The sequence below is a fragment of the Homo sapiens genome, chromosome 8, assembly GCF_000001405.40.
Source record: "Homo sapiens chromosome 8, GRCh38.p14 Primary Assembly".
In the NCBI taxonomy this organism is placed as follows: Eukaryota; Metazoa; Chordata; class Mammalia; order Primates; family Hominidae; genus Homo; species Homo sapiens.
In genome coordinates this window covers 72,602,090-72,618,288 of record NC_000008.11, presented here as the reverse complement: position 1 = coordinate 72,618,288, position 16,199 = coordinate 72,602,090, and the positions used below count along the sequence as shown (strand labels likewise).

The window sequence follows — 16,199 nt, the reverse complement described above, 5'->3', positions numbered from 1 at the left end:
TTGGGGGCACTATTTGGTTTTGATCTTGAGCTTACTTCTCTGCTTCTAGTTCCTACAGAAACCTGAATCATTTGGGATGCTAGTTCTTTGGGATTTTTTTTTTTAACACACATGTGCATCTTGCAAGGATTATGAGCTAATGTCAGTCTACATTGCCATCTCGGTAGGCATTTTTAGCTTTCCCACCATACAGATGCAGCCACACAAGGGGCTGCAGGAGAAACAGCAGTGTGTGCAGGTACCAAGGTGAGTGGGAGGCTGTGCAGCACCAGCAACTGCATAATGAAAGACTCCAGATGTCATTGCCAATGCTCCATGCTGTGAGCCCTGAAGTCGTTCCACCACATAGTTATAACCCTCACTAAAGAGCTTCAGACGCCGCTTAGATAATATTATGGTGTGTGTTTTCTAAAATAGGCTGTAGACAGCACTTGCCAAAATTTCCTCTATTTTTAATTAGTTGTTTATTACTTGGGGCCGGGGCCGGCGGGGAGGTGGCGAATTTAGCATCTGGGAAAACCACTAGATGGAGAGTTTATAAGTAAGGGGAAGGCATGCAACCTGGATGAGTAAGACAAACAGGGTCAGTTCCAAGTAGCAGTGAAATAGTGACTGAATAATTAAGGGTCTATCGTAAAAATGTCCACTAATCAAAATGAGCTATAGTCTACTGTCATTTTTTTTTTTTTTTGCACTTCTGTGATGCTAGCCTATACTGACAAAAATGCACTGGTTTCTGCTCCACGTTGAATAAGTGAGGACCAAATGGAAATTTCAGGGCATGGAAGTTGATCCTGCCACTCAAAGATGAGAGTTCTTCAGGTCTCTCTGGAGTTGGATGGAGAAGGCAGAACATCTGATTTGGGTGCCAAATCCCCGCCTTTCTAAAACAATGTTCTCTTGCCTCCATCTCAAATCCTGTCCTTGCCTATTTTTCTTTTCTCTCTGCAACATACATCACTGGCTATCTTTGTTTTGGAATGGGAAATAAGAGTGTTTTCTTCCAAAATACTGCTCAGACACCAGGTGGGAAACTATCATGTTGGAAAGATGGGAGGATTGGGGCAACATTAGTATACAGGTTTCAGGCAGAAGGTGACATAAGGATACCTCCTAGCTAAGAAAAGTGGAGGAAAGAGAGGGAAATGAAAAGGCACAGACCATTTCCCCCTGACCCTGGCCTCACAGATGTGTCTGTGACCCTTTATTATTCAGTCACTATTTCACTGCTACTTGGAACTGGCTTGCATAAATCACAATTGAGCAGACACCTGGCTCGAGGTGTGAAGCCACAGAGCATTACAAGAGAGAGAGGAATTGTGGAAGCCATTTAGTTAAGCAATGTGTAAGAGCCGTGAGATCCATTTAAGCCCCTCCAATCTTCCTCCATCAGATTTCAGTAATAGGCAAAGGACAGAATACAGAGCTCTGAGAAAACTGTGCCTATTATATTAACTCCTCCTCTTCATATATGCAGTAAATATTTATTAATTTTCTCTCTGTGCTCCAGGTATACCTTCAGGTCCTAGAAAGAGCAACAACCTAAATAGGCAAAAGTCCTTGCTCTGATAACCTTTGCATTCCATGGGAAGAGGAAGACAGTAAATAAATGCATACACAGATAAGAAAATTTCAGACAGTGCTACATGAAATGAAGTGCTTGACAATTCAGACAGTGCTTTGAAAATGAAGCCAAATAAAGTGATAGAGATGAAAGGGGTTCCTTTGCATGGGGTAGTTTGATGAACCCTTAGAACCACATTTAATATATGAACTGAGACCTGAATGAAAAAAGAAAAAAGCCTAAGAGCTAGAGAATTTTATACAGGCTGAGATGTGGCTGACTTTGGTGATTTAAAAGTTTCATAAACATTGGAATAAAAAAAGCCTGGTAAGATTAACTCTTAACACTCATGAGGTTATTATATGTGACACTGTTTTGTTGTTAGCTTCCACTAGCCATAAGCATGCCACTTGCACAATCAAAATCCATAGTGATTTTAAAATTACAGCTATAGTTCTACTGCAGATCTAATTTTATACCAATTCTAAATGGAAGCTTGAATGGGCAAGAAATAAAAGCTGACAATTTGGAAAGGCCCTCCACTTAATTTCAACAAAATGTGCAAACTCAAAAGGAATCCTTCGACTTAAAACCTAAGCGAGAAAAGGTGACATGATTGAGAACCTTAAAATGCCTGAATCTCTTCATGTACCTCAGAAAAGCTTTTTTTTCCCTTGTCAATAGGTAGCCTTGGGTTTCATGAACTGGAGATAAAGATTGAGATAATCCTGTACAAGGCAGCCAGCATTTCAAAAGCAATAAATTATTTTCTGCTCAACTTAAACTTAAATTATCTTTTGTTCACTAACTTACAAAACTTATCAAAGCAAGTTATGATACTTGCAGCTGAGAGCTTAAAGACTCTACTGAGAATGAATCTGTTGATCTTATCTGACTTTCTTCCTTCATCTATTTATTTCATTCACTCACCTTTAAAAACTGTGCCTCACTTGGGCAAAGAAAACTTTTTTGCCCTATTCAACTTGTTATAAACTTTCCAAATTCTAGAGTACAGTAGAGGTATCAAAGTTTCCAGCCTACAATATATGATTTTCCACATTATTCGCTCTTAGTAATCCCCCAAAACACACCCATCCCCAGTGGTCTGGCCTCTTAAGGGGCAGAACAGCAGTTTTCAAAATGTGGCCCAAGGGACCAACCAGCTCTAACCAATCACCTGTATGTTTGTTTAAAATGCAGATTTCAGGCTCCACCATGGGCCAAATAAACTAGAAATTTATGGGGCAAAACCTTGAAATCTGTATTTTAAACCAGTACCCTAGGGAATTCTCGTACAACTGAGAAGCCAAACTACAGAGGATTAAAGGCAGTTTTTGCTTCATCTTGTGCCTCGTATGCCCCTCAGTGTGTGATTTCAGAGCCATGTAGCAGTCGGTATTAAGCAGAACCACAGGTTGCCAAGTGCTTTCACACACAACATCTTGTTTCATTCTCATAACTACCCTGTGAGAGGCAGACAGGTCTGTGAGTTTCATTTTGGAGATAAGGGAACCTAGATTCAGAGAAAACAAATGATGTATCCACTATATGTAATTAGTAAAAGGCAGACTTGGGGCTGTTTCAGGTCTACGGAGCTCCATGCTCCTGCTTTCTGGACAGACCTTCTTTTCCCTACCCACTGCAAACGTGGAGTCCAAGGGCTGCTCAGGCAGCTGGTGTTATGTGGGGAGGTTTGGCTCTCCTCATGGTGTGAACTGATGCTGCTTCCTTAGCCACTTCTATCATCTGCTCATAGGGTCCTGCCTCCCAGGGACAATACATAGCCTCTGCTTGTTTGATATTTTTGGTCCCTCAAAAGTATTTCAGCATTTAGCCACCTAGCTCACATGGGCCATTGTGTGGTTATATGTAAGTTATGGCATCTCTGAGTCTCCAAGGAAATCATGTCTCCTCTAAACTTTTCTGTCAGAATGGAGTGGGGACAGGAAATTATTTAAGAAGTGAAATAAGACGTTTTCAGAAAGGACAGAACCAACGGAAGGGAGACAAAGACTTTGAGCACCTAGCCACAAGATGACAGATTTAAAGCATCCTGAAGCAATGCTTATTAGAAAAGTCCTATAAGAGCAGGAGCCGTTATAAACACCTACTCTTCAGCACAGAGAACAAGAGCAATTGTGTCCACTAACAACAACAGTCAGAGACTGGCATCTATGCTGCTGCGCTCAATCCCCCATTTCACTGTGCGATCTCATTTTACTGTAAGAACAATATGCTCAGGTGAGGAGGATTCCTTTAACAGCACAAGAAATTGAGTTTCCAATTTAAAAACCTTGTCTACCTTTACAGGGCTATTAGAGTAGAGCTAGGATTTGAACCCAAGTCCTCTCTGATTCCACACCTACCATCATGCATTGACCCTTTAGGATGACAACAAATCCTTCAATGGTAGAAACTAATATAAAGACATCATAGATATCTTTCTGTATCTATAAAATACATACATTTAAAATTAAAAGGTGTTTCCTTGCTGTTTGGCATCCAATCAATATCTAATAAAACTATTTTTACCCAATAAACAGCACTGGGAGAAGAGGTTGTGATGTTATCAGAAACAAGAGTTGCCTACTGCAGATTGTACATTACACTCTTTTTCAGGAGCAAAACTAATTTACATCAATGTGTGACTAGCTACGTTTCCTCATCCTTCCTAGCAGAAAGGCAGCATTTCTACAGGAGAATCCACTGCTACCTGACTAAATTTAGATCGTCCACATTTATGCTTTGAGTTGGTGTCATTATCTCAGCAACAGTGTGGGAGTTTAAACCCATAATCTCTGCGTATTGAGAACGGGTAAGATCCCATCTGAATAACTGCAAGAGCTCAAGAAATTCACTCTTTCACGTTACTTCATTCTGGTGATGAATTTTAAATGTGGACCATTCTGAATTTACAGCAGAAGAAAGGAACTCTGCTAATTGAATGCTCAATGTGCCAATGACAGCAACTAACAAGTGCACTGTTTAACCACATCAGGGGTTTACAATGGGACTACAATGGAGGCGTGAATATGGTCATCGGATACCCCTGAGTGGCTAGGAAAGACCAATGTGGATTGAACTTTACTTCTGGTAGTACAGCTTAGACTGAGGGATGATGTATCACCAACTGAACACACTCCACAGATGGTCAGATCTTAATACATAGTGAAACATTAATTTGATATAACAGGGATTTTATTTTTATATTTTGTTTCTTCCAAGTCAAATGCTGCTGAAACATGGAACTACTTAGAAATATCTGTCTAGGTGCGTAAGACAAATCTTCATAGTCTGTCAGTGACTCAATGTATATTGGATAACAGTGTGAAAGATACTTAAAACATTATTTTTTGAGGAATATAAATTCAGTCATCATAGACATAGTGGCAGGTTCCCTAAGGACTTGCAGAGGCCAGATGTGATCGCCTGCTTTGTTAGTTTTGCTTGTTTGTAGGGTTTTTTTTCTTGCTATGATTGAATTTATCTGGAGATAATTGCCTGTTTGAAATCCATTGTTTTCACTTTTATTTTCAGTTTATCTTTCTAAATTCAGATTTACTCTCTCTGGCCATAGTGTGGAAAACACAATAATGATACAGTGGGACAGAAACAGACAGTCCATATGTAACCATGGGGCAGTTCTTGAGCCATTGTTATCTAGTTTTCTTTTATTCCACGACATTTATTTGTGAGATTGTGTGCATGTGTGTGCACATGGCACATATGTAAATAAAATAATGCTAACTTGATAGAAATGTTATTTCCACAGGAGAGCATATCTTCTAACAATATTGTCATATTTAATTTTCCAAAAATGTTAAAACATAGAAAATCTAACTTTGATATCTACTGAAAAGAACATTCCTGCTGATTTTCTCATGCTGTACTTTATATTAAAAAAATAATTCTTAGCAAGCTCAAACTTGAAAAAGCTTAGAAGTTCTAAGGACCAAAATCATACTTGCCTCAGGAAAAATCAATTATTTCATCCAGTAGCATTCAGATGTCCATTTTACCTCCACAAAGCCCAAGGCAACTGTTTCTGTTCATCTTGTTCTAGACTTTGACCCTGATGTCTCAGTTCCTAACACTGTCTGCTTCAATGTGTCAAGCTTTATTATGAAGACCTAAATTAGAACCAGATTTTCAGGGGCAAGTGTTTCTAAGTACCATAGCATCTTCCATGATGTAATTTGCTTAAAGAGATGGAAAACTTAAAGAAGGAAGAAAGCAGGGCAAAATGTCATCAGTATGAATGACAAAGAACTGGAAGCAATATCTGACTCTAGAAATTCACCAGCAAGTCTTCCATTAAGTTTTATTTTACTTCCTTGTGTTTTCAAAGATTATGTTGCTTATGTTTACATTTACTAAAGTTGAGTACCTGTATAACAAGTCTTTGGTCACTTGTGGACAGGTTAAATGTCACTCTTCACTGAGAACACTGCATTGTTCAATCCTTTGATTTTAGAACAATAAATCATTTATATGTGTTAATTAAGTTGGAATGGGGCAATAGTCAGGCTTATGATGTTAATGCTTACTATCACTGGAACTGCTGTGAATTAAGAAGTCACAGAATTTATTGATGGTAAGTTTCAAGTAAAATCTTATAATGATTGCATGGGATATACTGCTTGAGAGTATCTGAAGTTTTTATGGAGTTTTTAGGTTTCTATATACTATTTCACTTGAACTCAAGAGTGAGCGAGCTGGCATTACTTTTTCTATTTTAAATAACAGTTTGCGTTTAAGGATTTTTTTAACATGTTTCAGGCAAAAATATTAATTAATTGATTAATAGTTATTTAGTCCTTGTCACAAATCCTATTGTTCCCATTTGAAAACGAAGAAAGTGAGGATCCAGAAAAAAAAAATGGGTTTCTTAAGGTTGGGCAGCAAGTGGGCTACCTAGGATTTTAAGCCAAACTGGAGTGAGCCAATGCCTGATCTTTTTTATTCTCATGTATCACCAATATAAGGCAAAAAGTTGCAATTGGCAGAACAATACACTTAAAAGGTGCTATGAAATAGAAGGTATCCCTTCCATAGTCCATTGTAAAGAGCTCAGTGTGCCATGCAGTAAACAGCAAAGCCGGTTGCTACACACATCCTCTCTGCCTTCCTGTTCCTAAAAAGATCATGGGCAGTCCTCATGGCAAGGGAGTCTTTCTCATCATAGAAAATACAGATCATTGGAAGTCCATATTGCAAGATACAAACATCATAGGTGATTAAAATAACAAGGGAGATGTTGGCAGATTCGGATACCGAACTTTAGTGTGCTGGGGTCACAAATACCCAAGAGTTGCAAGCTTGAAAGCAGTGAGTCAACTCTGTTCCCAGGGGAGCATCTGAAAATACGGTGACCCTATCTACATTTAAGAGACTTGTTTAGATAATTTTTATTACAAAAGACTTTTTGTGAAAGGTATTGGCAAAATTAATACAGGTATCTATCTTGTAATACTGATCAACTTTAAAAATGATATTTTAACATCATCCATATGCATAATTGTCAGAAATCTATAAGAAAATACTAATAACATTCTGAGGATTAAAAGATGGGTCTCAGTTTCAAAATGGATAGCACATAGATTTTCTTTTTCCTTTTCTTCAGTGCTCCCTACTCCCTACAATCCAAGATTCATAAATTTAGAGCAATCTCAACATACATGTCTTGATTCATGGACTGAGCCCATTATTTTCATCAGGTCAGTGATAAAGTCAATGTTTTGAAGGTGTTCCCTCAACCCTAGGGCAGGCTGAAAGGTCATTACTGATTGGAGACAAAATCATTTTTTCTGACAAATCTGATCTCATTGGATTTCACCTGAGGTCTTTCTGTTACCCCTTCAGTGAGATAAGCTGCCTGTCTTGCTTTTATATGTTTTTAATTACCAAAATCCTGTATGTTACGTAAACCACTTGTCTTCTGAATTTACTCATTATAATAGTTATTTGCCTTCATTTTCCTTTAGAATGATTCAGTTTTTAATTTAATGATGTCTGAATTCCGTAACCACATTTTAAAATGAGACTAATAATAAACCTTACATCATAGAGTCAGTTGTGAGGATTAATACGTTACTAAATTTTTTAAGTATTTAGGACAGTGCCTTGCCTATAGAAAGTGCTATCTATTTTTTTGGTTGCTATTATTATGAGTGTTATTTTTATTGCATACATAAGAGATCATATCCCTAACCTTTTGTTAGGCATAATTTGTCTTAGAAATTTCAGGAAGAGGCAAACAAATTGCATACCTAGGCTTTAAAAAATACTACTTGGTGAGCATAAATAAGAAAAAATATGAGGAAAATCTTCATGTTATCCTAATTCCATTGCTTAAAGTCTAGATTCTGTTTTAAACTTTTTCCTTAACTTAGTTTAGAGTTCGGTTTTTAAGCACATCAGTTGGAGGAAGAAATCCCACTGATTTAAGCAAGAACACTCGAATGCTAAACCCTTCATGCTGAGGGGATTATATTTCAGTACAACATCTACTCTTCAAGAGATGTGATTTGGAGAGCTTTAAGAGTCATTATCTTTTCTCTCCAACAATTACCTGCTCTAATCCTTTTCTATTCATTGATTTGAAGATTTTTTTTTCCTGTTGTTTTATCCCAACCCTGTGGTCAGAAAAGTCACCAAATTTTTTTGAAATATTATTAAGTGATTACACTTTAGAAGGTACAACAAAAATCTATTTTAGGTTTTCAGGATCTTTTACATAAGAAGAAAGAAGACAGCCAGAGCCACAGTTTGTACAACTCCAGGGAGAGCTGTGAAAATATTCCACGTGAACAGCAGCCCCTGAATGCTGGACTTCAACGTAACGACGTCCTGGGTCTGCGCAGTGTGGCAGCACTGAAGATGTCTAGATGATAATGCTTTATTCGACTGGGGACTTTAATGAAAAATGGTTTACATAAGTGCACACATAAACATAGTGCTCTGTAGTCTGAAATATTTTACAAATATTTCAAGAACTACAGATAAAATTATACTAAGTTGATCCTAATTGACATTATAATATACAATATTAAATATTTCTTCCTTGGTGTTTTTGCCTGATACCAGATTCTGATGTAAATTCCAAATCGGATATTATCTATGTCTACTCTAGCTTATGTTCAAGCACAAATAAAAGGGCAACAGAAAATTCTAATAATATTCATTGTAGAAAAAACTCTTGTCTCTAATGAAAATTATAAACTCTAGTGCAGATATCTATTACGCTAATTTTTTGATTCAGAAAGAATACATTTTTTTCTTCTTCTATGGTTAAATGTAACTCACTTCTAACGGAACTTCTTGAAAAAGAAGTGTTGACTGAAATTTTATGAATCACATAAAGCTTGAAAATGCTTCAAGAGAGTTTGTTTTTCAGGATTACTCTTAAGTCAGTTTTGAAAGCAAATAATCATCAACTACTGCTATATTGTCCTATGTGCTACATGCACTGATGAGAGTGCATGTGTGTGTGAGTGGTAAGGACATACTTGATCTAAGAAACATGGACCAAGGTCCTAGCTTTGAATATTTAATTAGCTACTATATGATGTTGAACAAATTCTCTTCAATGCTCTGGGTCTCAGTTTCCTTATCTTTACAAATGAAAGAGGTGTTAGACCATAACCTCTCATACTTCTTCTCATTCTAATCCTCTATGAAACAATTCTACTCCCCACTACATCACTTGTGCCTAAGATTATACTTCATCATAGAAAATTACTTGTTATACATAATTGCACTAAATTGTTATCAAGTAAAATCACTTGTTTGAACATCTTAACTCCTCCTTGTAACCATCCTTTTATGATCTTTGGATGGTTGACATCAATATGATAACTGGTGAAGCCCAAACTTCACAAGTTGGGCCAAGTTGTGAAGCTATGTACTCTTAACTACTAGTTTCGAGTTAATTCATGTGCCCAGTGGTGGCCTAAATGTGGCTGAACTGATGTCTCATCCCTTGCTTTCTGAGACATTCTTATCTCTCATCTTGGAGAGACTCCATTGTAATTTCTATTTTTTATCAGTTTCCTTTGATGGCCCTCTCCCCCTGCTGGATACCTCACCATTGGTGGTACCCCGAGGCTAGCTCCTTCCCTTGTGTCTTCTCTCTAGCTTCCAGGAGCACACCCACAGGCATTTCTAACTTACAGCCTTTACTTCCCCATCTCCAGTTCCACAGCCCTCATCCAAGGCATCAGCACCTCTCAAGTACCTGTTTCAATAGCCTCCCAACATGTTCTCTGTTTCCCCTCTTGCTACCCTAGACTCCACTTTCCAAACAGGGGCTAGAGTAATTTTTTAAAAATAGAAATTGGATAGCATAATACCTCTGTTTTAACCCCTCCATTGCCTGCCCACAGCAGTCAGAACAAGTCCTGCCTCCTCTCCCTGCCTGGTTCCCAGCCTCTGCCTGCCTCTCTGCCCACTCTCACCTCCCTATTCCAGCCAGTCCACTTCCACCAGGAATGCCCACCCCCATCTGCCATATCTGCCACAGATGTGCACAAAGCAGACTCCTTCTCCAAGGGGCTTTCTTCAGCCTCAAGATCTGGAGGAGCCACCCAGAAGTCTCTATCACATCACTCTACTTTGAAATCCCTGAAGAGCTCATTAATATCTGAAAAATTTTCAGATCACTAACCCTTGCCCCCATGAGAATATAAGCTCCATTAGGCAGGACATTATCTGCTTGGTTCCTGCTCAAATGCTGGCTCTTTGACCAGTGCCTGACATATAGCAGATGGTCAATAAATGTTTAATAATGATGAGTGGATGAATTTCTGTATTTTTATGTACTAACCCAGTTAAATAAGTCACTTTTATTTCATAATTATAATTTTATAATTCAAAATGTGTTACACAAATTAAATTTTATTTCTAGTGTTTTATATTGTTATTCAAACTTGCTTTAGTCCTAAATTAAGTGCATATATGGGTCTCTATTTTATAACAAATAAAATTTTTTCTAAAAGCAATTATTCAATATGGAAATGATAAAATTTTAGAGACTAGAGGAGAATTTTCTATAGCTATATCTGAGGATTAAAAAACACTTTCTAAACAGATCATAAAATATAAATCACAAAATATTTCCTTGCTTATTGTATTACTGTTAGGCACAGAGACACTTACATGTTTTATCCTCATTATTCTTCATACATTTCAATATATTTGCATTTGCCAGGACATGCCAGCCTGGAAATGCAAAGTAAAGAATGAGTCACTGTAATGGTAACACAATTACATTCTCTAGCTCAGTCTCCAGTAAATACATTGCTAAACTTCCAGCCCTCCATCTCTCTCCCCGAAATTACTGCATTTGAAACAAGGGGTCCTTGGAGTGCCTTGTAATCATTCTTGAGAAGGATGGTCCTTTCTACTTTAGGAAGCCCACCTTCCTTCCTTCTGCTTCTCATGTGCCTCTCCACTGGCCCCATCCCTGTTCCTCCAACTCCATCCCTCTCCCCACACCAATACTGCTGCTCCTCTGGTTGCCTTTGATATGTGTCACTCTCTTTAGCATTACCACTGCCCATGCTGCTCAAAAACTGTGTTGGAAGTAACTCAAAACGGAACCCAGGAGACATCGGCCCATTTTTGAGGCAGGTACCCAGTTCTTCACCTTTCCTCTCTACATCAACACACAGTACAGTCCACCACTCTATAACTCATTTTGCCCTGCTCTTTTCTCTAGCCAAATCTGCACTCTTGGCCATAGATCCTGACTTCAGTCCTCAACACTGATCCCTCAGGCCTGCTCTCCCAGATGCTGAAGCTCAGATTTTCTCTAGCCTCCAGCCCATAGGAGAGGCACTCATTCCCCAGCGACGTCTTAGAATCTAGAACCTGGTTCTCATTTCAGATACACTTTTCTGCCTTAACTTTTACTCTCCCTCAGCAAGCAGACCTCATCTCCTGGTGCTCACAGGTCACAGCAGTGAAGGGGTGGATATTCATTTGTTTGGGTCTTTTTCCCCGTGGGGACCCATCCTGGCGGACTATTCATGATCTCTCCTCCTTGGCTTATCAGACCTTCATGTAAATCACATGCTGGCCCAAACGACCAGTGAACTGCCTCCGAAGGGACCAATACCATAGGGGATGTGGAGCTGAGGACCTCTCTCTAATGCCTCCAGGCTGAAAAATTAATGGCCTGTTTGTTTCTGATGGTGAAATAACAATTACTAATTAGTATGATAAATGTTAATAACAATAAAATCACAAATCACCATTATCCTGCCATGCAGAGATAATAATTAGAACTTTGATGCATTTCCCATTTTTAAAAATATTACGTTATACAATAGTATAATATTCCATCTATAATTCTGTATTTTCTTTTACTTGGATTATGAGTATGTACATATATCATTAAATATTCATCAAAGTGTACAGAATTCCATGGATTTGTCACTGCTATCTAGTCATTCCTCTATAATTGCTTCTAGTTTTTCCCTATTATAATAATTTTATGAGAAGTGTTTACACCTAATACTGTGAATTTCTTATTATTCCTTAGGACTAATTCCCAGAAGTAAAGCTACTGGGTCAAAGAATATAAACATACTGCTAAATTGTTTTCTAGAAAATGATACCAATTTAACTTATTCTAATGAGATAATATATTCTGTATACTCACCAGCTTTGAGTCCTGTTTTTCAAAATCTTTGCAATCTTTGCCAGTGTACAACTGAAAAAGTAGGTTGTTTCAATTTACTTTTCTTCAATTAATTTGACAATTTTCTTCCTCCTTTTGTCTTTTTTTTCAATTGCTGGGTTAGTATTCCTCTTGTTTTGAAGATATTAAGGATGTGACATATTTGCAGCTTCTATCAAAAAGTTAGCCTAAAAAGTGTATGATTTTTATATTCCTATAAAGATAAATTCTATTTAATTACCATCTTCTCTATATTTATGCTCACCTGCCACCATTAGAATATTTATTGAACCACATATCTTGACAAAGTTGAAACTGGAAAAAAGATTCATTTGGAATATTTATTTCCAATGAAATTGGTCTGGGACTAAATTATTTTGTGTGTAACTTCAAAGGCTGAAGCACTTTTTACAGCATTAAAAATACTTAAATACAGCCCTCTGTATAACTGTAACATCTAACTGTTGAAAGACTTTCCTTTCCTTGCTAATGACTTAGAAAGCTGTCTTAATAAGCTTTCTAAGCTTATTAAGCACATGGTTCTCATGAAATCCTATTCTCTTTTTCTCCTATGAAAATCCTTTAAAGCCATGCAATGGTTTTCCCCGTAGTTAAAAATCTTCATGTCTCAGACTGGTAGTAATGACACAAATAGGCCCAAAGAACAAAATCAAAAGCTACCAACACTACAAACCCCTAATGATGTCTAGTGTGGAGCCCCCAGTGTAGCCCAGACATAACCAGCTGCCAAGGAGCAAGCAGGCCTCCATGGCACCCATTGCTAATGCCATGTCCCAGCTGTGCTGTGTCAGGCTTGGTAATGAGCACAGCTGTAGTGCAATGGGGCGTTGCATTTCTTCCTGACATTTTCCCCAAGTGACTTTTTACAGCGTACTTCTATTAATTAACTTCATCTCCTAGCCTGGTGCTGCAAATACTTTCTTATTGCATATTTGAGTGGCACACACCATGGTGAACCATGCTTAGGTTGATTGGCTGTCTCCAAAGTGACAGCACAACAGGAACAAAATAAAATATTCTAAGCAAGACTGCTGATAAAGTTATGAGAACAAGAGAAAACCAACTTGGCATCAAGATGCAGTCATGGAAAGCTTGTCAAGAATGTTAAAATCATTTTCTCCTCCTTCACAAAACACAAGAGAAGGTATGATTGATGGATAGTTCATTAAATAATGCAAGATACATTTTTAAAAAATCATGTGCTTCTACTCAGCATTCTAATCCAAGATAGGGATGACCTTTGGAGTCTAAGTGAAAGGACACAAAATTTAAAACCACAAAAACACTTTGCAGAAAAATATAGAATGAACTGCCAAAAATGTTAATTTAAATGGGTACAAAACAATTAATTTATGATCCAATTAAAAACATCTTTTTGAGCAACTAGTATGTTCATGACACTTCATTAGGTGATTTTTGGGAAGAGTATACAGCTCTAATTATTTGAGTACCTACTATGTGTCAGATACATGTTAATTTTAATTTCCATAAGAATACTGCAAAGTTGACATTATTTGTTTATTTTCAAGATAAGGCAACTGAGGCTCAAATTTAAGTAACTTGTCCAAAATCACATGGTGGCTCTTAAATGCCACATCCCAAACTTGATCTCAAGGTTTTTGTTTTTCTGAGCACTGATTCTTTCTGCTATGTCATAATGCTTCTCAAAAAGGTACAGAAACCAAATAGGACATGATCTCTACCTTAGAGAAGGATTCATACGCATAAGTATCAGTAATAGATTATAGATGGAGCATTCATTGTGTATAGGTTGTGTTCTAAGTAGTTACTGCATCTTAACTCGTTTAACGTATATAAAACTCTATGGAGTAGGGTTGATTATTATGACCATTTTACAGATGAGAAAACTGACATACAGACAGGATGAATAACTTGTTCCAAGTCATACAGCTCATTTATTAATTTCTTAGGGCTGCCATAACAATGTACCACAAACTAGGTGGCTTAAACAGCAACATGTATTCTCTCACAGTTCTGGAGGCTAGAAGTCCAAAACCAGGGTGTCAGCAGGGCCAAGCTTTCTCTGAAAGCTCGGGGGGAAAATCAACACCATATCTTTCTCCAATATTCTGGTATCACCACAATACTTGGCATTCCTCGGCTTGTAGATGCATCATGCCAATTTCTACCTCCAAGTTCATATGGCATGCTCCCTGTGTCTCTTTACATTGTGCATGTCTGCCTCTGAATTTTTTTCTTATAAGGATACGAGCAAGTTTGGAGTAAGAGGCCACCCTACTCCAGTGTGATCTCATCTTAACTAATGACATCTGCAGCAAGCCTATTTCCAAATACTGTCACATTCTGAGTTTTTAGAAGGATGAGGACACTAATCAACCCAGTACAGCTAATAAGTTGTGAAACAGGATTCACTCTGGGACAATCTGGCTCAGAGTCTGTGTTGTTGACCACTCTGCTCTGCATCGCTGACACACAAGAAATGAGTATCAGCAAAAGAGTGATCTGCTCCTGTACTGACAGTGTAAGCACAGTGTTATGGGAGTGCAAGGCAGGTGACATATGAATGGAAATTTGAAAGGTGAATAGGCCACATTAGTAGGTAGATATGGGGAGAAGGGATAATATTCAAGGAGAAAAGAGCTGCTAAGTATATAGTCATGCAAAGGCATGTTGCATTTGGGAAACAGTATAGCCAGAGTGCAATGGAACATGACAGGTAGCAAAGGGGTTTGGGGTGAGCTGGGAAGGGAATGGTGGGTGTCATGGTTAAAAAGAAGACTGGAACCAAATAATGAAAGGCCTTGTGTGCCAGGCTAAGGCTATTGGACTTCGCTTTATAAACCAATAGGAGCCATTGATGAGAAGTGACACAATCACACATGTGCTTTAGTATAATGATTTTGGCAGTAGTGGAGAGGATGCAGGAGACAAGGATACCAGTTAGAAGGCTATGCAAGAGATGTCCTGAGGTTAAATTTGAGAGGTACAACTCAAGATGATAATTTCACTGGCTGTAGAAAGTAAGGGATGAATGAAGTGTACATTAGGTTTGTATACATCAGCGGGCATGCCGCCTTTTTTTTTTTTTAGTGCTTAACCTCAAAGGAAACTAAGTTGACTAATTCATTTGTGACAGATCAAAGATGGCCATGAATTCCCTGAGATGGAGAAGAACTATTCTACTGAAGAGATCATATGGAAAGACTTGGAGATGACATGGAAAGAGAGAGGATCCCACATAAGCCCAGCCTTCCAGCCACTCTCATGAAGGTGTCAGGCTCATGAGCAAAGATCAGCCAACTGTCAGCTGAATTCAACCAGCCGACTTCAGTGGAAAGTCAACTGAAAAACTGCCAAGCTATGCCCTGCCTGAATTCCCAACCCATAAAATTGTGAGTCATAGTAAAATGGCTATTGCTGAAGCCACTACATTTTGGCTTCGGCAACAGTCATTTTACTATGCAAAAGATAGTGCCTATCTTTAATGCAAAAAATGACTAGAGTCTGCCTATATAATAAGGTAGCATGATTCATTTAATCTCTCACATGGAAATTATATAAAGCTAAATGAACAAATATTGATAAGAATGATAGAAACTAAAATAATACAAAATGCACAGTCCTCCTTTGACTAAAATTTAGCAGGGCAGCAAAATTCTAGCAATGATTCAGTAGCATCTGCAGCAAAATTCTACTTACTGATTTTATCATGCAACCCTGAAAAAAAGGAATGAAGACAAACTTGAGGCCACCTCCCCAAATTTAGGCTGGTACAATCACAACAGACCACTCAGTGACTGATTCTGATGTTCTGAGAATTAAATGCTCAGGTTTGTTCTCTCAATAGATTTTAAAAATGGCTGGAGCTGCCTAATATCAGTTATTAGTATCAAGAATCAAACTTCTAAGCTAAATAGAATACTTTTCATTTCAGGAATGATAACAAAGCTT

At 37.9% G+C, this 16,199-nt stretch overlaps 1 protein-coding gene across 1 annotated transcript in view; it reads right to left on the bottom strand.

Moving 5' to 3' along the window:
• KCNB2 (potassium voltage-gated channel subfamily B member 2) overlaps positions 1 to 16,199 on the bottom strand; it is a 401,125-nt gene that overhangs the window by 320,061 nt on the left and 64,865 nt on the right. The window lies entirely within an intron of this gene.